This window comes from Homo sapiens, chromosome 8 (genome assembly GCF_000001405.40).
Source record: "Homo sapiens chromosome 8, GRCh38.p14 Primary Assembly".
In the NCBI taxonomy this organism is placed as follows: domain Eukaryota; kingdom Metazoa; phylum Chordata; class Mammalia; order Primates; family Hominidae; genus Homo; species Homo sapiens.
In genome coordinates this window covers 141,630,693-141,652,073 of record NC_000008.11, presented here as the reverse complement: position 1 = coordinate 141,652,073, position 21,381 = coordinate 141,630,693, and the positions used below count along the sequence as shown (strand labels likewise).

Below are 21,381 nucleotides of genomic sequence, written 5' to 3'. Positions count from 1 at the left end.
GCTTGGGTTGGGGCCAGAGCCTTGGGCTCTAACCCTGGCGCTGCAATGAGCCCTCAGGAAGCCTGGTCCCCAGGGTCAGTTATGCAACTTGCAAGGACCAGTGCAAAATAAAAATACGGGGTCCTGGTTCAAAACCAAGGCAACGGCAGAGGATTAAACTGAGCATGCAGTCCCTCTGCATGTAGCCCCTGGGACTGCCCAGGCCACCCCCGAGAAGCCAGCCCCTCTGCTGCATGTCCTCTGTTTCCTCAGCTGCAAAACAGGTGGTGTTGGTGACCGCCCTGCCCTGTCTCAGGGCTGCTCTGAGGGTGAGACGACTGAGAAACAAGGGAACAGAGAGATGAACAGTGTGACCTGGCTCCCCCAGGGGCGGGAGGAGCGAGGGTCAAGGCGGTGGCTCCTCATCTGACATCCCCTCTGCTGGAATCCCTCGTGTCTGCTTGGTCACACGTTCCGGCTCTACCCCCTGTGCCAAGGTCCTCACCCAGGTCCTCGCCCATGTGGGGCTGGTGGTCTATAGCAAAGGTACAGGACATACGTCATTGATACTCTATTCTGTCAAATTGAAAATACCGTTGATTCTAAGATGCCATGATTTTGTGTGACACTCAGACACTGCCAGTGACATGATACCATGGGGCCTACGACAGTCCTGCACAGCGCACTCAGGGTCACGGCAGCCTCTCCTGGCTGGATAATTGCTTCCATTTCTTCCGAAGTGCTCGGCGATTTCTCCTGCCTCCAGCTGCTCTGCTCATCCTGCCCTAGGCAGCCTTTGTGTACATCTTTGTACTAAACAGAGCTCCCCAGGCACATAAAGCGCCTGGTTGATGCTTTACAAAAAAAAATATGGAGCCATGGTCATCTCCTCCAGGATGAACACTTGCTTCCCTGATATAAGAGGGAGCCCTGCTGCTCTGTCCTTGCTTCTGTGTGGTAAGTCCCGTTCTATGCAGAATCAGAGTGTCGCCTTTAAAGCAATTCAAAGCGGCAATCAGACCCGACCCGGGCAATGTCAACAGCACGTGGAACTCAACTGAAGGGAAGGCAGCATGAACAGCGATGCCTCGGCCGGCTGCTGCGGCATAACAAACCACCCTGAAATGAAGAATTGCACCATACAATACAATTAAAGCAACATGTTGCTTAAAACAACAGAATTGAACAACAAGTTCCGAAGTGTACAGATCCACATGTGGTTCTGCTGTCAGCAGGCCTCATCCTGCATCTGAGTTCAGCTGTGAATTGAGTGGGCAGCTCTGGCCTCCCATGTGTCTGGGGGCAGGCTGGCTGTGGGCCGGTGCACAGGGTCCTGGCTGGGGCAGCGTGGCCTGGCCCGCGTGGTCTCATCCTCCAGCAGCTGCCTCTGGCCCCCGGTTGCCCACAGGGTAGTTGCAGGGTCCCAGGAGCAGAAGCCCACAATGTAACTCAACCCACAAAGGCCACTCCTGCCACAGGTAGCGTGCAGCCAGACAGTGGTGTGCACCTCACCTCCCAGCACCTCATGAGTTCCCTGGCATCACATTGGTGGCTGGCAAGCAGCTGCAGTGGGGGTGTTGGCACCATAGAAATACGCTACAAGTCAGGGGCTGGGCTTCTCAGGAGCGGGAACCCAGTTCACCAGCACACAACTGGTCAGCCACGGTCTACGGGCAAAACCCAGTCACAGGGCCAACACCAATTCAAGGATTGGAGGACAAATAGGATGAGCTTGCCTCAATTTGCTCAAATTTTCCCAGTGTTATCTCTGAAAGTCCCTTGTCTCCTAAAACCCTTCTGTCTCAGGGAGACCTTGGGAACTGATGCCACTTCTTTATGGGAGAAGCATCAGCATCATATGCCACAAAATACATGAAGATGGGGTGAAGATTCACGTGCATGTTTGCAACCAATACCTCATAAGTTCAAGTTCATACACACACAGGCCGCGGCAGCTGAGTCCTGACCCCCACCAGAAGACAGCACCTGTCAGACCCCAACTCCCATACTATGCATCCCAACTTCCTGCCAGTTAAAATGTGGGAAAGCGATTATCTTAGAATTGGTGAAATACAGCGGTTAAAACACAGGACAGTGACGCATTGGCGGCGCTATGAGCAGGGAGTGGGAAGTGATCAGCACACAGGGGTGGGGCCAGGGCCAGGGCTGCAGGGCCGGGCACAGAGGATGCCCACCAGCCGAGCTCTGAAGAGCCACAGCTCAATCCCAAGTCCCAGAACAAACAGCCACTGGCCTCTTTTCTTCCTCCCTGGTCAAGTGCATACCTCAAATGGCCCTTTGAAGTCCCGCAGGCTGGGGCTGCGTGCTAGTGTGCGTGGTCAGGGGAGCAACAACGTGGCGCCTCTCTGACTCGGGCATCCCTGGGGGCGACAGGTCAGAGGTGACTGTGAGTTTGGGCTTGAAAGGCTTCTTCTGGAGGGATGAAAGAGAGGGAGGGAGGATGGGAACAGGCAGAGGAGCCAGCGCAGCGCTGGCAAAGCAACACACAAATACAGAAGCCAAGCACGAGGTAGTGATGGCCAGAAAGACCAGCTGAGACCCAGGACGGTGGGTCTCAGCCAGGGCTGATCCTGCCCCTAGGGGACACTGGTCATGTCTGGAAGCATCTGTGGTCGACACAACTGTGGGAGGTGGATGCTGCTGGCCTCCAGCAGGTGGAGGCCACGGATGGAGCTGACACCCTACAGGTCATGGGGTGCCCCAGAAAAGACTCCCTGCCCCACACATCAGGAGGGCTCAGGGTGACAATCTGGGAGGGAAAGGACAGCATCAGGCAGCACAAAAGCAGCGCAAAGAATGGGGAGGAGGAGGAGCCGGCCCACTGGGTGGCCCCCATGCTCCAGAGCCCCAGCCTTCCAAGCAGGCTCAGGGGGACTCCTCAGCCCACGGTTCCCTGGCCCCGCCAGCCAGTGCGCAGGCTCTGGAGGAGGCTGTTTGCTATTCTGCCCCAGGTCCCCGGCACAGCTGGTTGGAGCCCCGGGACGCGGAGGGGCTACCCTAATTGCACTAATGGCTGGTAATCAGGCATAATGGGGTGTTTGTACACACCATCAAGCCCAGCTGCAGGTGTGGCAGGCGGGCGAGTCCCGCGGGGCTCCCAGAGACTCAGCAGCGCGCCAGCTGAGAGGCCGGGGCCCATGGGCAACTTCGCCCCCCATAGATGTTTAAAATCTCCTTTGGGCTTCCCACGTTGCACAAAGCATGCCAGCTATCCACAGACCATTCGAGACTTCCAGATTTCCCGGGTGCACCACGCCAGCCGCCATGGACTTCCAGCCCCTCGGGTTGGTGGTCTGGAGAATAGCTAAGCAAGCGGAGCCTGTGATGATCCCCAAGTCACCAACTCCTTGGGTGCAGCAAAGAAGAAGCCATTGCTGTCCCCATGATGCCCGCTGCCTGGGGGAGCTTGAGGGCCCCGAGACCACTCACGGTGATTGCTATTGTCACCATAACCAGGCCCTAGGAGTAAGCCCTGTTCCGGATGCTGCAGAACCATCTCACAGCCACCCTCCATGTGGCGGGTGTTACTACTATCACCCCTGTTTTCCAGATGAGGGACAGTGAGGCTCAGGAAGACTCACACCTGGCCCGTGGCCACACAGCTACATAGAGGTGCAGGCTGCAGGCTGAGGCACAGGCTATGCTCTGGGCAGCACGACTAACTTTGCTGAAGCAGGTGAGCATCAGGGGGCGATTGAAGAGGAAGCATTTTCGAGCTGGGTTTTGAAGGATGTATAAGAGTTGCCACAGTGAGGATTGGGAGGACATCGCCCTTACATAGACATAAGATGGTGGTGGTGTCTTTTAGGACAAGTGATTAACGCTGAGTTCTAGGGAGAGAGAGGAAAGGATAACAGTAGATGGGTCTGGAAAAGTAGGTCAGAGGGCAGGCTAGGAAGCATTGACAGTTGGGATAAAGTTTCTATTATGGAGAGATGGCTCTCCTGGCTCAGGTGGGCATGGGCTGCAGGCCAGGAGGGCAGGATTCAAGACGTCACGCATGTCTGAGCTCAAGGGAGCAAAATAGAGAGACAGGAAGCATAGCCAAGGGAGCAAAATAAAGAGACAGGAAGCATGGCTGGACCCAGGATCCTGGTTCAAACTTTGACTCTGCCACTAATATGCTGTGTGACCTTGGGCAGATTCCTTACCCTCTCTGTGCTTTGGCCCTCTCACAGGGTTGCCATGAGGCTCAGCGGGATAAGACCCTCAAAGCAGCTAGAGCATGCCTGGTGCACGGGTAGAACCCCACATGCCAGAAGTCACATTGTCCCGGTGGACGCAGCAAGCCTCTGAGACCAGAACAGAGCAGGGAAGAGGGACCCCCTCGCCTGCTGATGTTCAATCTCAGGGTCTCATCAAACACTTCTGCAAGGACATCTGCCCGGCAACTTCCTGTCCAAATTCAGACTGACGCCACCCTTGTTATTGATTTTGGTAGCCAAGGATAATTGTCCCAAAACAATTACATAATCCTCCTCATTTTTCCTTTAAAAACTTTCGTCTTCCTTTACCTCCCTGAAGATACACATAGCTTTCTGTGGCTTGGGGATTCCCAATAATGCCTATTCCCAAATAAACATCATCTTGTTTGAGAGAGCCTCCCTCTGTGTTATTTAGGTTGGCACCTCATAACTATTGGTGCTATTATTATCACCGCTCTCACTCTATGTGTGATGAAACTGAGCACAGAGAGGTTAAGTAACATGCCCAGGGTCACACAGCAGGTGAGGCATGGAGCAAGGATTTGAACCCAGGCACCTGGTACCAGAGCCTCAGTCTTGCTCCCAACCACTGTGCTATGAGAGCCCTCTGAAGAAGGGAACAGGACACAGGAGAAAATAAAAGAACTGGTCCTGAGCTGAACTGGGGACCAGGGAAAGATATTTAAAGTAAGATCAAGGGGCCCCCAAGAAGCTTGCCAGCACAGGGCACCAGGAAGCATGTGCCAAGTTCCTGTGCAGAGAAGAATGTGGACAGCAGGAAAAATTGAAACCCACATGGCTGCAGCTGTTAACCAAGGGAAGTGAGGGAGGGCCATGGAGGGCGAGGCGGGCGTGAAAGGAGAGGGTAAGTTGAGGGCCACATCCCCCAGGCTTGCCGGCCCATGAGGCCTTTGGGGGTTTATCTCAGGTGCCCTGGAGGCCATGGGGGACATCAGTCAGGGGGCATGATTGGATCCCCCAGTCACTGGTGTGGGATGGATAGTAGGGGGGCCACCGGGGCACCAGAGGCCCCTGGGGAGGCTTCGGCAATGGTTCGGATCAGAGATGGCCTGGATTCTGTGGGGAGGTGGGTGGCATGGAGGGGGAAAGAGGATGGATTCCAGGCATATTACGGAGTGGAGGGATGTGCAGGGTTGTAGTTGCTGGGCTCAGGGGTGAGGGAGAAGAGCTGTCAGAAATCCACCCATTTCCGGAGTGAGGGGGTTACAGGGAGAGCCATCACCAAGAGGGAGTTTCTGGAGTGAGGAGGGTGCAGGGAGAGACATCACCGAGAGTGAACTTCAGGAGGCCCAGATGCTTGGGTTGAGGTCCGGGTTCTTCCCAGGGCCTGTTCTGTCAGAGGGGAGAGGCGGCCAGATGAGCCCCAGGAGCCTTGGGCGGGGGCCAGGGCTGGAGGCGGCTGTGGGTGTTAGCTCCGTCTCCGGGGAGCTAGGATCCAGAGGGGAGGAAGGCAAGGGTGGCTGGGGCGGAGGGGGTGCCGAGAGGCAGGGGGGCCTGGAGTGAGGGATCAGACGGCAAAAAGGCTTCGGACAGCGGGGAGGGGAGGCTGGGCTCCGGGACTGGGCAGGCGGCATGGCAGAGCAGGCATGCGTTCGCTGCAGGTGCTTGCCGTGCCTGCTTCTCGGCAGTTTCCTGCAGTGCACAGCTCCTGGCTCACCCTAGGACACGCCTGTGGGATGGGTTGGGGAGGTCAGGGGCAGTGGCATGGGGAGTCCATCTGCTCTGCAAATGTGAGACAGGCAGTTGGGAAAGGGTCAGATGCTGCCTACCATGTCTGCTGAGGTTGAGTGAGGCGACCTGAGCGAGTCTGAGGCCTCGGAGGCGGGAGGTGGCCGGAGGACTCAGGGAGCACAGCCTGGGAAGCCAGAGCCACTGGGTGCAGTTGTCCTGGGGCCACAGAAGTTACAGTTTGAGCAGACAGGGCCAAGGTCTCCGTGCCACCAGGGACGGGAGGCCCAGGCCTTTAGATGCCCCAGCTTCAAGAGCCTTCTCCGCGGCCATCTCAGAGGCTACCTGGGCTGCCATGGCTCTCAGTGTAACTCAGCCCTGGGGACATCCTTGGTCACTGAGGGACCGGGGGACAGGGACACAAGATACACTGGTCACCTTGAGTTCCCTCTGGAGTGGGGACACAGGGGAGCAAAGATTGTAACCCAAAGAGGTCAGCCCTGGGTGTCAGACGCACCAGGGCCCACAAATGAGGACGACGAGGGGACCCCAGCCGGAGGCAACAGCAGGAGCTGAGCTGAGGCCAAGACAGCGGGGGCCACCTGGGCCCTCCAGGGTCCCCTTTATCACAGCCAGTAGGCTGCAGGGAGGGAGTGGGGAGGGAGGGAGCCTTCCTGCAGGACTTCCTCCCTGTGCTAAAGACCTGGCGTCACTAAAAGGTGATGGGGTGACTATGGGGAGTGATCTCTAGGATGCTGCTAGTAAGAAAAACAGGGAGGAGGGCCAGGTGCAGTGGCTTACGCCTGTAATCCCAGCACTTTGGGAGGACAAGGCAGGCGGATCACGATGTCAGGAGATCGAGACCATCCTGGCTAACAAGGAGAAATCGCATCTACTAAAAATACAAAAAATTTAGCCAGGCGTGGTGGTAGGCACCTGTAGTGCCAGCTACTTGGGAGGCTGAGGCAGGAGAATGGCGTGAACCCAACCCGGGAAGCAGAGCTTGCAGTGAGCCGAGATCACACCACTGCACTCCAGCCTGGGCAACAGAGCGAGACTCCGTCTCAGAAAAGAAAGAAAGTAAAAAAGAGAGAGAGGGAAAGAAGGAAAGAAAGAAAGAAAGAAAGAAAGAAAGAAAGAAAGAAAGAAAGAAAGAAAGAAAGAAAGAAAGAAAGAAAGAAAGAAAGAAAGAAAGAAAGAAAGAAGAAAGAAAGAAAGAAAGAAAGAAAGAAAGAAAGAAAGAGAAAGAAAGAAAAAAGAAAGAAAGAAAGAAAAACAGGGAGGGGCAAGTGTGCAGGAGCTGAGCCAGGGTGCCCACAAATAGGAGGGCCAGGGAAAGGACAGTCATTTGCATATATTTAAAACACAATGGAGGGCCTGAGCAAACACTGAAGGAGAAAACATGTAAGAAGAGGAAACTTAAAGTATAATAATAAAAAAAAAAAAGGAGAGGGACGGGACAGGACGGAGGGAATCGGGACCAGAGCCAGGATTCTCTGAATCTCCCCAGCCAACATTCGTGTAATTACACAACAAAATTACATTTTTGAAAAAATAATCCCTAAAAATTAAAAGCAAAATAGAACCATATATGGAGTGGGTAGCATGACCACACGGAGGGAATCATTTGATGTAAGCTTCAAACACAGCAATTTTACAGGATATTCCTGCGGGTTAGACCCTAAGGACGGAAAGAAATGCAAAAGCAAAAATAAAAATAGAGAATTTAATTCCCAGGAATTATATTGTGACTAATAATATCGGTGGCTATTCTAAGACTGCATTTACTCAAAGATAAAATAATAACACGATTGACCTCTCCAAGTCTGGGGAAACCAGTTTGTCAGCATGAGAGAAAGGAGGTACAAGCATAAAGTGAAGAAATTGCGTAAGATCCTGCAAGCCTATGTTGGATCGGGTAGTATCTGCATAAATTTGTGATTTTTTTTTTAATCTTTAAGAAAGTAATTTTCCTAGCCTGCCTGGGAACAAACCAGCCCAGGAGCAGTGAGAGCTCAGCTCCTGGTGCCCAGGGACTGAGACCACGTCCCCATGTCAAGCTCCTTGGAGAAATGTCCGATTACCTGGCTGGGCCAGGAAATGTCCAAGAGGAGCCTGGAGCTTCTTGTCATCCCCAAAGCAAGGAAGCCATCAAAGCTTTCTGGAATCATGTCAAAACCATCGGGAATCGAGTCGAAGAGCTTTCCACAAGCCGAAGACGGGAGGAATTACATATCAACACAGATCCTAACCCCAGTGGGTTGAAACCTATCAAATACGTGCAACTTCACACATTCAGAATGATGAAAACCCTCATGGGCAAGCGTTGGAGGAGGCAAGACCACCAGCTTATTGTTTTGGAAGCTAGCGAATAAAGGCAGAGAATCCAGCGTGTCTCCGGACGGTCCGTCCTACACAACCACACATCCACGTCGCCAACAGCTGACGAGGGAACGCTCCTTCATAGGAAAGCATTCCAGCCAACGAGCGCAGAAGGCTGACAAACTCTCATCATCATCCTGCGATTCCCTGATAACTGGGGGATGTGGCAGGCAATGGCGGATAATGTCACGGAGGAGAGGGACAGGCAGCTACCCTGCACCTCCTCACCAAGGAACACCAGCGCCCAACGCTGCTGTGGCTCAGAACTCACCACCAAGGACTGGGACTGCACAGGGATGTGTCATCAGGGTCCCAGCTGGAAGCTCCCAGGACACGGGCTGCCTCCCCCACAGCTTACCTGCAAAGAGAAAAGAGCACGCAGGGAGGGATGGAGGGGATGCCTGTGAACTAGGAGATCTGAGGGGCCTCTTGTGGATGTCTGCAGGCCTCATTTCGAAAATATTTTTTTAAAAATCCTGTTTAAAAAGTATTCATGATATAATCAGAGAAATTGGAAGCCTGGCTGGCAGAGGACATTATAAAAAAAATACCGTTCTTCCCTTTAGGTGGGAGACGGGTGTAGCAGTTGCATATTTTTATGAGCCCTCATCTTTCAGAGATGCACTCTGAAATGTTTATGGATAAAAGCTGAGCAGCTCTCTATGCAGTGACATGGAAAATGTTCATAATTTATAACCTGGAGTGAATGTAGCATGCCACAGATCAATGCATTGAATGCCATCCAATTTGTTTTGTAAAGAAAGGAACAGAGAGAGCTGTCTAGGAGGCATCACACTCAGAGAAAGATCCAGAAGGACCGCACAGAGTGTTGGCACTGGGCATCCCTGAGGAGCCCGACCACAAGGAGGGTGATGTGAGCCCTCATTTCTTCCTGGCAGGGAAATCCTTATTTGTGGAGAAAAGTAAAATGACATCGTCTTTCTGCGGCCTCCAGTGAGCTAACGGACGGGGTATTGACCATCAACAGCTGTCAGCAACATCACAACGGAGAGGCTGCCAGCCCATGTGTCCGCAGCAAGCACCCAACCCCGCCACGTGGTGTCCTGCCGAACACGGCCTGCGTCCATCTGGCCAGCCCTGTGTGGAGTCCCCTGTTTCTCTGCCTGGGGCAGTCTGACCTTGTCCCAAGCAGCAGTGGGCAGGGGCTGAGATGCTGGGGAGATGACTTCCGCACCGTGTCTTGCATACGCAGGGAGACTGTTGTCTCCTCCGATGCTGTTTCTCCTCTCTTGTGCTGGAGACTGTCAGTGCAGCCATGGAGGCACCTTTGTCTGAGGAGATAAAAGCAAGGTTATGTACTTGGGGTAACTCATGACAGCTGAGAAATCAAGTGGCCCCTCCATGAGCCAGGACAGCTCTGAAAGGGACAGGTGTCTCAGGGCAGTGTGACTGCATGTGAGTTTCGGAGAGAGGTGGAGTGGCGAGGGGCAGGCCCCAGTCATCCCTTTTTTTCACCTGTAGAACAGAGGCCAGCAGGGGACCCTCCACCCTGCACCCCTCCCAGGACCCTGAACTCCAGAGTTCACCCACTGACGGTCCCCTGCGGTCCCTGGGCCTCGCAGGTCCTCTGAGGTGTGGCCCAGGCTGCGCTGTCTGCCTGGTGTACGTGGCCCAGAGAAGCCTGAGAAGTGGGTGGTTCCAGGGCTGGAAATGGCGCCTCCGAACAGGAAAGCCTGGTCCTGCGGCCCCCTTCTTGCCCTGCGGTGAGGAGCACTCTCTCTGCGGAAGAAGCTGGGGCTTTATCCGCCTCCATCCACAGCCTCTCCCCACCCCATTTCTCTCCCTAATTAGGAAGCAGGTCATTACTGTCAAGGAAAAAAGTCCAAATCAACCTAGAGTCCTTCACCTTCTTCTCCCACCTGAATCCTCTTCTTCCTGCAGGTGTAGCTCTGGCACCCCCACCTCCAGGAAGCCCCCTTGCTCCCCCTCCAGCTGGACTGAGCGTCTCTCCCAGTGCCAGCCCCCGGTGCTCCCACAGATGTGATCACGGAGCCCTTCTGAGTCACAGCCCACCTGCCCCTGTGCTTCCTGCCTTGCCCAGCGGGGAGTCCTGGCTGTTGCCCCCAGGGACCCACCTCCTAATACCCAACTATCCCTGTCTGCCCCAGGGCTAGGGCCAGGCCTGTCACAGCCACAGCTGCAGACTCTCCAGGGCCCACTCCTACCCCGCCTCCAGACTCCACGGGGGCACTGCTGTGAGGCTGGAATCTCCCCAGAGGGGCGGGTAAGAGATGGGGGAGCCTCGGTACCAGTGGGGGCAGGTGCTGGCAGGCGCCCTCCATGTCTTCCTCCCCAGCACCACATTCTCACTTGGGGGGTGCTCAGGACATGCTCTACATGATGGAGACACAGCTATACCTTCCCGTGCAGCTGCCGCCAGCTCAGGAATGCCCCTCTGTGTCTCTCCCCTACTCCCTGGCCTCGCTTCCCCTAACCCTCCCTTCCGGTGCCATGGGACTGCACCTCCCTCTGAGGCCACAGCACGCAGCAGCCCTATGTCAGGCTCTGTGCTCTGGGCACTCGGCTCACCCAGACCAGGCCCCTTAGACAATGCTCAGTCTGCATTAGTTCAGCCGCCCCGGCCATGCACATGGGGGCCAGAGAGTGTCACCGTCACTGGGACTTAGTCTCTGGAGACCAGAGGTGCTCCAGGGAAAATGGGAGGGCCATCTGATTTCCGCTAGATAAGTCTGAGGCCTGTGGCCAGGGCGATTTTCTCATCTTGTAGCCTTTTTTTTATTAATCACCTATGGAAATGCAGACATCTTCCAGCTCCAGAAGCAGTGACACCAGAGCAGGTAGCCACGATGAGCAAGTGGCACAGTCTCCTGCCTGGGACTGCCGCTGGGGGGCTGCCAGTCAGATGGGCTTCAAGCAGCTCTGGTGGGTCCTGGCCCCATCGCCCATCCCAGCAAGAATTTCTTCTCAAATCTACCTGGTAGGTGCCGATGCAGCTGCTATGTAGGTAGAGTGGGGGAGGAGTGGGAGGGAGAGGATGGGGAGGAGAAGGAGGAGGAGGAAGAAGAAGGCAGTGAGGATGATGGCGACTCTCCAGCTCCAGGGAGCCCACCTGCAGGGGGTCTGCATGTTCTGAGTCCAAGTCCCTGTGACATGACCTGTGGGGTCCTGCCTTCCCCATCACGGCATTTATCACTCCACCGTACTGTGTCCACCTGCCCAGCCCTGCTCCCCACTAGCCCAAGGGGGCCGGGGAGCCACTCTGTGTCTAGTGCACCCCCCAGGAGGAAGATCTGGTTGGAGTGAGGATGTGGCACCACCAGGCGACAGTGGAGGCCCCGCAGTGTGGTGCCCACGGCCACTCTCTTTGATGCCCACACCGGCGCCCCACAGAGCACGCTGCTCCTTCTTGCCCTTCCCACACAGTCTCTCCCTGTCCCCCTGCTTCTCCGCCAGCCGGCCCCACCTGCTTTCTGGCCCCTGGCCCCTGGAGAAGGGGACAGCCATGCCCAGCCTCCTCTGCAGGCTCTCTGGGGCTCTCCCAGAGCCTCCAGCCCGTGGCTGGGTCCCCCTTCATTGCTCTCATCCTTGCACCAAAACACTGCACTTTATTCAGCCCGTCCTCATGAGAAGTTTTCCAATTTGGGGCTCATTCTGGAGAGACCCCTCCAGCCTCTCTCAAGTTCTCCATACTCCACTTCAAGTCTAGATTCTCCAGCTCAGATAATAACCCGGCGAGGAGAAAGGAGAGGGGAAAATTACCTCTCCACACATCTGCACTCTGCAATCTCCCACGTGAAAGCCACCCGGCGTGTCAGGGATTTTCTTTTTTAATTGAACTCTGCAAGTGGGAGGAGAGTGAGAAATAGCACTCGTTCCCGTGTGCTGGGCACCCCAGCCTCGGTTAATCCTGGCAAGGCCACCCGATGGCTCTTGCAAGAAGGGTCTACTGTTCCCATCTTGCAGATGAGGAAGGCGAGGCTTAGAGAGATTCAGTGACTGCCTAAGCAGGTGGTAGACGGATAGAGGCTCCTAAAAGTGCAACGACAGCTCACCCAGATAGGGAGGCCCCATCGAGCACACCCCACCTGCTCCCTGCGCAAACCCCCCTCCTCCCACAGGGCGCTTGCTTACAGGAAACGCCGAGTCTGGAGCCTAGAGCCCAGGCCTCCCTGGCTGTGTCCTCAGACCAGGCCCCTCGGAGTCTTGTAGAACACCTTACTCTACCTGCTCATCTTATCTTACAGGTGGGGACATTTAGTCCAGGGACAAAGTGAAGACCAAGTCCAAGCTTCCTAACTCCAGTCCTCGTCCTGCTTGGTGAGCCTTGTGCCCCACCTTGGATACTCCGCTCCCTCTCTGGGCCTCAGTTTCCCCATCTATAGCATGGGTCTCTAGGCCCTCCTCCTGCCCAAGAGCTGCAGGGGAGGCCCATGCTGGCCACGCAGGCTCCGAGTCTAGGACGATGCCCTCCAGCCTCCCCCCTGCACCCCTCCAAACCCCGCTTCCAAGGAGCCTAGCCTTGGGCCGGGCCTCTTCCCCTGTACCAGTCAGGTGCTGCTCCTCCCGGGTGGAGGCTGCAAGGGAGGGCAGTCCCACCGCGAAGGGCTTTGCCAGCTGACAGGCTGTCATGTTCTCTGCAAAGGACAAGATTTGCTGGGTTATTAAGCACACACGGACCCACAGACTGTGGCCAGGAGATAAGGAAATCTCCGTCGAACAACTGCGGGATGGAGTCTGCGTCCCTTTTTTCTTTCTTTCTTTCTTTTTTTTTTCTTCTTCTCTCAACTTGGGTATTTTCAAGCTTAGAAGTGACTGCTCTAATCAAACCAAGAGACCAGCGGCGAGAGGCGGATTTGCGCAAAGAAAATGGAAAGTTTAAGAAAAAGAGAAGGCAGGGGGTGGGGAGAGCTTGTTCCAGAAACATGGAAACAGCATCTCGTGGCTGGATAGAGATGGCACAGCCCCAGCCTCCATGTAGATAGCTGAAAATTTCGAGTAGAGGCCTGGCCTAGCCTTTGGAAGCCTGTAATCTCAGTGGGGAGGCATAGCTCCTGCAGAAAGGCCCTGGTCGGACGGCAGAGACGTAGCCACACTCAGGCAATTCATCTGGTGGGGGCAGCAAGGCCCTGCCCTAGGCCAGCACCCCCCCACTCCCCAGATGCTTTCAGGAGCTCCTCAGGGCACGAACCCGCTGCCACCAGCTGCCGCCTTAACCCTGCAGGCTGCCCTGAGCAGGCTCCTCGACGGCAGTGCTGGACCCCTCCCCACAGCTGCTCCCAGCCCATGGCCCACCCAGCGCACACCACAGAGCGAGCCACAGCCTAAGTCACCTCCTGGGACTGTCGTGTTCTTGCTGCAGGAGCCCAGCCAGGGCTTATCTGGCCGCTAGTCCATCCAGTCCCATGCCGGTGTGGTCCTCACGTGTCCACAACACTTCCTGGGCTGCAGGAAGTGTTGGCCTGAGCCCAGGCAGGTGTCACACCTTCTACTGTTCCAGTCGTCCTGCACACAGGGAAGTGGGTGAGCCTTACCCACCTGGGGCAAAGGCCCAGATAAGGCCACGTCCCTCAGATAAACAGGCTTGTATTTAACCTCAACTTCCATGCAAAAACAGACTTGAAAGACACAAACTCACATCTGGAAACATTTTTAAAGGTGACCAGTGACCCTGGAGCAGCTGCAATTCCTTCCCTCTCACTTTCCCTCCAGAAGCTTCGCTATCGCCGGCATCCAGCCCTCAGGCCTCCCCACACGCTGTTCCTCTGTCCAGAATGCTTATCCCTGCGCTCTTCACAGGGAAGCTGGCTTCTTTTCATCTCTTAAGTCTTGACTCCCTTGTCTCCTCCTCCAGGCAGCCCTCGCAGACTGCCTCATCCTGCGTGCTCCACCCCAGGCCCTACTCCTTTCCCTCGCCAGGGACAACACGCTTGAGCTTGTCACTTGAGTCAGTCTGCCTCCCCCTGCCAAAAAGAATATCAACTCCATGAGGGCAGGGGTGAGTTACTTGTGCCCCAGAGTCTGGCCCATGGTAGATGCCTCATAAATAAGTGCTGAATAAATGAGGAGGCCCCTGCAATCTCCCTGCCTCCACCTGCTCTCCCTAGTCACACCCACCAGCTGTGCACATGTCACAGACATTTCCTGCTGAGCCTTCCACGCCTTCCAGGTCAAAGCCATCACAGGCTGGTGGGGAACATGGGGTCCCCCCGGGGGCACCTGTCACCTCCCTCAGTGGCCCACCCAGTCACTGTGCTAGCCCTCGCCTGTCCCCACTGTGGGGTGTTGAGAATCATGAACACAGCATTTTGCAGCCACTTTCATTAAGAGGTAGCGTCAGTAGCTCATTCCTGTAATTCCAGCAGTTTGGAAGGTCAAGGCAGGAGAATCACTTGAGCGCAGGAGTTAGAGACCAGCCTGGGCAACATAATGAGACGCCCTCTCTACAAAAATCTAACAATTGGCCAGGCATAGTGGCATGCACCTGTGTTCTCAGCTACTTGGGGGGCTGACGCAGGAGAATTGCTTGAGCCCTAGAGGTTGAGGCTACAGTGAGCTATGATTGCACCACTGCACTCCAGCATGGGTGACAGAACAAAACCCTGCCTCAAAAAAGAAAAAAAGAAATGGTCATAACAGCTGCCCGGCCCTGAGTCTGCAGCCCTCTGCGGCCCACAGAATGTGACAGGGCTGACACTGCAAGCTCCAAGCCCGGGCAGCAAGGGCCTGGCAGTGCCCACCCTCACCCTCTCGGAGGCCAGCACCACGCAGGGACGTTCCACTGACCACTGACCCCTTCTCACTCCCTGAGTGAGACCTGTCATTCTCCTACCAAAAAACCTGCCCTCCACCCTCCCAACAGGGCCACAGAGGGCAGCACCGGTGTTGGGGGCTCAGCCGAGGACAGGTCTCAGGTCTCATGACAAATGCATGCCAGTGGACCAATGCAGGGCCTGCTCATGGCTGAGCTGCCCCGAGCCGATAGCCTTTGGCTGGCACTTCAGAAACTCCCCACAGCCAGCGCCACTGCAGCACCTGGTCTTTCTATGACCCTGACTACCAGGGGACATCTTTTCTCACCTGGTCTTTCTACGGCCCTGACTGCCGGGGAACACCTCTTCTGAACCCCTCTGTTGTGTGATTTCTTGATGAATTTTGGAAGCCACTGAATGCAGGAAGTGTCTTTTCTCAAGGCGCCCCGGATCCTATCTCGTTCTTCAAATGAGAGCATTTTCCACCGTCACTGAGGCAAGCAGCTCCTCCCTAAAGGAGGGAGGAAGGGTGCTAGGCTCGGTGCTAGGAGCGCACAGGATTCTCACCCGTCACTTTGCCATCTCGGCAGCAGCTGCAGCAGGGAGATTGCGTATGTTCAGCAAAGTCCCCTTGTGCCTGGCTGTAGCTCGGAGCTGGAGGAGTGAGTCCGTGCGCATGGCCTGGGAGCAGGGTCCTTCCTCCATCGGTGGCCTTTGGTGTTGGTCCAGAGTCCGGGGCCTGGCATTCCAGGGTCCCAGCAGTTGCCCCTCCTGCTTGCTCCCCGACAGGTACCACCCAGGGACCTGCCTAGTGGCCCTGAGCATGCTGACCGCTGCTCCATACACGAGTGCCCCTGCCTGGCCCCAGATCCAGCACAGGCTCCGCGAGCCCTTATCACACCTACTCATTCCGCCTTGCCCATGCGGCAGCCAGGCTGGGTGCTCCCCAGAGTAAGGCAGCCCCTTGTGCAGCCTCTACCTCCTGGCACCCCTTGCTGCCCGCTGCTCGGAGGGCAATGCCTAAGATGAGAGCATCCCTTTGTCCCTACTGGTGAACAGCAGGTGTCTCGCCCTCCACACCAGTGACACCTGGGTAGGCAGTTGCCAGAATGAGGCCACCCTGCCCACAGCTGGGTGCTCAGCCACATCCGTGCCTCAACTCACAAGGTGCCAGTAGCACCCCAACTGCAGTGGTGACACTAAAACATGTCCCAGGACTTTGACAGAGCAGATATGGCCAATGTCCCCTGGAGAGCAGGACCCCGCTCTGGCTGTTTTGCACTTAATGACTTTGCATCTACAGTTCTTTCTGCCAGGAATGCCCCCACCTCCAACTCCCCAACATCCAGGAACTCCTCGAAAGTTCAAATCAACTCCCATCACCCTCTTCGTAAGTTCCTAAGAGGCAGAGTCAGGATTTTTTCAGCTTTGAGTGACATGAACCCAACTCAAACTAGCTTAAGGGAAAGGGAAGGCATCAGTCTGGATCCAGACAGGACAGAAAACCCTCCAAGGCCTCCAGAGAGAGGGAACGTGAGGCCACGCATGTCCACGCAGGGACCTGAGAGCCGACCAGGGAGCACAGAGGCTGCCCAGGGATCAGTACCCACAGCAACCCAGCCCAGCTGAGCGGGGCAGGTTTCCAGAGCCTCCAGGCCACCCCGCACCACGTGATAGGGGCTGCCCGCAGGAACTGGGACATGGAGGTAGCAAGGGTACCTGGCAGGCACTGGAGGCTAAGGACTGCCTGCCAGCACCAGCAGATGGGCAGAGAGGAGGAGAAATACCCTGACTCTCCTCCCACGCTCTGCGGCTGAACCTTCAACTCTGTCGAGAAGCTAGAAACTGCACCAAGCTATAGTGCTGGCTGTGGGGGAAGGTCTCCATGGAAAGGGGGACCTGGAGAGACCCAATAATGACTGACGCTCACAAGTGTACCCCTGTGTACTCAGGATGAAGCCCAAACTCCTGAACATGCCTGCAGGGCCCTGAGCTCAGAGTTCTGCCTACTGCTGCCACATCCCAGCCACAATGCATGCATGGCTTTCAGCTTCTGAAACCTGTCCCTTCTTCCTGCCCCAAGGCCTTTGCCCACACTATTATTCCAGGGTCTTCTCCCACACTGTTCCAGGACCTTTCCCATGCTGTTCCAGAACCTTTCCCATGCTGTTCCAGGACCTTCACCAATCCTGTTCCAGGGCCTTTGCCCACGCTTTTCCAGAACCTTTCCCATGCTGTTTGAGGACCTTCATCCGTGCTGTTCCAGAACCTTTCCCATGCTGTTCAAGGACCTTCACCCATGCTGTTCCAGGACCTTTGCCCACACTGTTCCAGAACCTTTCCCATGCTGTTCCAGGACCTTCACCCACGCTGTTCCAGGGCCTTCACCCATGCTGTTCCAGAACGTTTCCCATGCTGTACCAGGACCTTCACCCACGCTGTTCCAGAACCTTTCCCATGCTGTACCAGGACCTTCACCCACACTGTTCCAGAACCTTTCCGATGCTGTACCAGGACCTTCACCCACGCTGTTCCAGAACCTTTCCCATGCTGTTCCAGGGCCTTTGCCCATGCTGTTCCAGAACCTTTCCCATGCTGTTCCAGGACCTCTCCCATACTGTTCCAGGACTTTCCCATGCTGTTCCTGAACGTTCACCCATGCTGTTCCAGGACATTTCCCATGCTGTTCCAGGGCCTTAACCCATACTGTTCCGAGACCTTTCCCATGCTGTTCCAGAGCCTTTCCCATGCAGTTCCAGGACCTTCACCCATGCTGTTCCAGGAACTTCACCCATGCTGTTGTTCCAGGACCTTCACCCATGCTGTTCCAGGACCTTACCCATGCTGTTCCAGGAACTTCACCCATGCTGTTCCAGGACCTTTACCATGCTGTTCCAGGACCTTCACCCATCCTGTTCCAGGACCGTTACCCACGCTGTTCCAGAACCTTTCCCATGCTGTTCCAGGACGTTTCTCACGCTGTTCCAGAACCTTTCCCATGCTGTTCCAGGATCTTTCCCATGCTGTTCCAAGGCCTTCACCCACACTATTCCAGAACCTTTCCCATGCTGTTCCAGAACAGTTCCCATGCTGTTCCAGGACCTTCACCCATGCTGTTCCAGGACCTTTCCCATGCTATTCCAGGACCTTCACCCACACTATTCCAGAGCCTTTCCCACTCTGTTCCAGGACTTTCACCTATGCTGTTCTAGGACATTTCCCATGCTGTTCCAAGAACTTTCCCATGCTGTTCCAGGACGTTCTCTCATCCTGTTCCAGGACCTTTATCCATGCTGTTCCAGGGCCTTTCCCATGCTGTTTGAGGACCTTCATCCGTGCTGTTCCAGAACCTTTCCCATGCTGTTCAAGGACCTTCACCCATGCTGTTCCAGGACCTTTGCCCACACTGTTACAGAACCTTTCCCATGCTGTTCCAGGATCTTTGCCCACACTGTTCCAGAACCTTTCCCATGCTGTTCCAGGACCTTCACCCACGCTGTTCCAGGGCCTTCACCCATGCTGTTCCAGAACGTTTCCCATGCTGTACCAGGACCTTCACCCACGCTGTTCCAGAACCTTTCCCATGCTGTACCAGGACCTTCACCCACACTGTTCCAGAACCTTTCCGATGCTGTACCAGGACCTTCACCCACGCTGTTCCAGAACCTTTCCCATGCTGTTCCAGGGCCTTTGCCCATGCTGTTCCAGAACCTTTCCCATGCTGTTCCAGGACCTCTCCCATACTGTTCCAGGACTTTCCCATGCTGTTCCTGAACGTTCACCCATGCTGTTCCAGGACATTTCCCATGCTGTTCCAGGGCCTTAACCCATACTGTTCCGAGACCTTTCCCATGCTGTTCCAGAGCCTTTCCCATGCAGTTCCAGGACCTTCACCCATGCTGTTCCAGGAACTTCACCCATGCTGTTGTTCCAGGACCTTCACCCATGCTGTTCCAGGACCTTACCCATGCTGTTCCAGGAACTTCACCCATGCTGTTCCAGGACCTTTACCATGCTGTTCCAGGACCTTCACCCATCCTGTTCCAGGACCGTTACCCACGCTGTTCCAGAACCTTTCCCATGCTGTTCCAGGACGTTTCCCACGCTGTTCCAGGACCTTTCCCATGCTGTTCCAGGATCTTTCCCATGCTGTTCCAAGGCCTTCACCCACACTATTCCAGAACCTTTCCCATGCTGTTCCAGAACAGTTCCCATGCTGTTCCAGGACCTTCACCCATGCTGTTCCAGGACCTTTCCCATGCTATTCCAGGACCTTCACCCACACTATTCCAGAGCCTTTCCCACTCTGTTCCAGGACTTTCACCTATGCTGTTCTAGGACATTTCCCATGCTGTTCCAAGAACTTTCCCATGCTGTTCCAGGACGTTCTCTCATCCTGTTCCAGGACCTTTATCCATGCTGTTCCAGGGCCTTTCCCATGCTGTTTGAGGACCTTCATCCGTGCTGTTCCAGAACCTTTCCCATGCTGTTCAAGGACCTTCACCCATGCTGTTCCAGGACCTTTGCCCACACTGTTACAGAACCTTTCCCATGCTGTTCCAGGATCTTTGCCCACACTGTTCCAGAACCTTTCCCATGCTGTTCCAGGACCTTCACCCACGCTGTTCCAGGGCCTTCACCCATGCTGTTCCAGAACGTTTCCCATGCTGTACCAGGACCTTCACCCACACTGTTCCAGAACCTTTCCCATGCTGTACCAGGACCTTCACCCACACTGTTCCAGAACCTTTCCGATGCTGTACCAGGACCTTCACCCACGCTGTTCCAGAACCTTTCCCATGCTGTTCCAGGGCCTTTGCCCATGCTGTTCCAGAACCTTTCCCATGCTGTTCCAGGACCTCTCCCATACTGTTCCAGGACTTTCCCATGCTGTTCCTGAACGTTCACCCATGCTGTTCCAGGACATTTCCCATGCTGTTCCAGGGCCTTAACCCATACTGTTCCGAGACCTTTCCCATGCTGTTCCAGAGCCTTTCCCATGCAGTTCCAGGACCTTCACCCATGCTGTTCCAGGAACTTCACCCATGCTGTTGTTCCAGGACCTTCACCCATGCTGTTCCAGGACCTTTCCCATGCTGTTCCAGGACCTTCACCCATCCTGTTCCAGGACCGTTACCCACGCTGTTCCAGGACCTTTCCCATGCTGTTCCAGGATCTTTCCCATGCTGTTCCAAGGCCTTCACCCACACTATTCCAGAACCTTTCCCATGCTGTTCCAGAACAGTTCCCATGCTGTTCCAGGACCTTCACCCATGCTGTTCCAGGACCTTTCCCATGCTATTCCAGGACCTTCACCCACACTATTCCAGAACCTTTCCCACTCTGTTCCAGGACTTTCACCTATGCTGTTCTAGGACATTTCCCATGCTGTTCCAAGAACTTTCCCATGCTGTTCCAGGACGTTCTCTCATCCTGTTCCAGGACCTTTATCCATGCTGTTCCAGAACCTTTCCCATGCTGTTCCAGGACCTTCACCCATGCTGTTCCAGGACCTTTCCCATGCTGTTCCAGAACCTTTCCCACGCTGTTCCAGGACCTCCACCAATCCTGTTCCAGAGCCTTTGCCCACGCTTTTCCAGAACCTTTCCCGTGCTGTTTGAGGACCTTCATCCGTGCTGTTCCAGAACCTTTCCCATGCTGTTCAAGGACCTTCACCCACGCTGTTCCAGGGCCTTCACCCATGCTGTTCCAGAACGTTTCCCATGCTGTACCAGGACTTTCACCCACGCTGTTCCAGAACCTTTCCCATGCTGTACCAGGACCTTCACCCACACTGTTCCAGAACCTTTCCCATGCTGTACCAGGACCTTCACCCACACTGTTCCAGAACCTTTCCCATGCTGTTCCAGAACCTTTCCCATGCTGTTCCAGGACCTCTCCCATACTGTTCCAGGACCTTTCCCATGCTGTTCCTGAACGTTCACCCATGCTGTTCCAGAACCTTTCCGATGCTGTTCCAGAACCTTTCCCATGCTGTTCCAGGACATTTCCCATGCTGTTCCAGGGCCTTAACCCATACTGTTCCGGGACCTTTCCCATGCTGTTCCAGAGCCTTTCCCATGCAGTTCCAGGACCTTCACCCATGCTGTTCCAGGATCTTCACCCATGCTGTTCCAGGACCTTACCCATGCTGTTCCAGGAACTTCACCCATGCTGTTCCAGGACCTTTCCCATGCTGTTCCAGGACCGTTACCCACGCTGTTCCAGAACCTTTCCCATGCTGTTCCAGGAACTTTCCTGCGCTGTTCCAGGACCTTTCCCACACTGTTTCAGGACTTTTCCCATGCTGTTCCAGGATCTTTCCCATGCTGTTCCAAGGCCTTCACCCACACTATTCCAGAAACTTTCCCATG

General features: G+C 55.2%; 3 annotated features.

The window, feature by feature from the left end:
* Nucleotides 1,902-2,731: an enhancer, noted in NCBI's record as "H3K4me1 hESC enhancer chr8:142659443-142660272 (GRCh37/hg19 assembly coordinates)". NCBI's record gives its function as "activates a minimal SCP1, AML or CMV promoter by ChIP-STARR-seq in primed H9 embryonic stem cells {active_cell/tissue: H9 hESC(primed)}" and the evidence as "EXISTENCE:reporter gene assay evidence [ECO:0000049][PMID:30033119]".
* Nucleotides 5,755-6,301: an enhancer, noted in NCBI's record as "H3K4me1 hESC enhancer chr8:142655873-142656419 (GRCh37/hg19 assembly coordinates)". NCBI's record gives its function as "activates a minimal SCP1, AML or CMV promoter by ChIP-STARR-seq in naive and primed H9 embryonic stem cells {active_cell/tissue: H9 hESC(naive and primed)}" and the evidence as "EXISTENCE:reporter gene assay evidence [ECO:0000049][PMID:30033119]".
* Nucleotides 8,455-8,638: a silencer, noted in NCBI's record as "fragment chr8:142653536-142653719 (GRCh37/hg19 assembly coordinates)". NCBI's record gives its function as "represses an EF-1alpha promoter that drives an FKBP-Casp9 reporter gene in an ReSE screen in K562 erythroleukemia cells {active_cell/tissue: K562}" and the evidence as "EXISTENCE:reporter gene assay evidence [ECO:0000049][PMID:32094911]".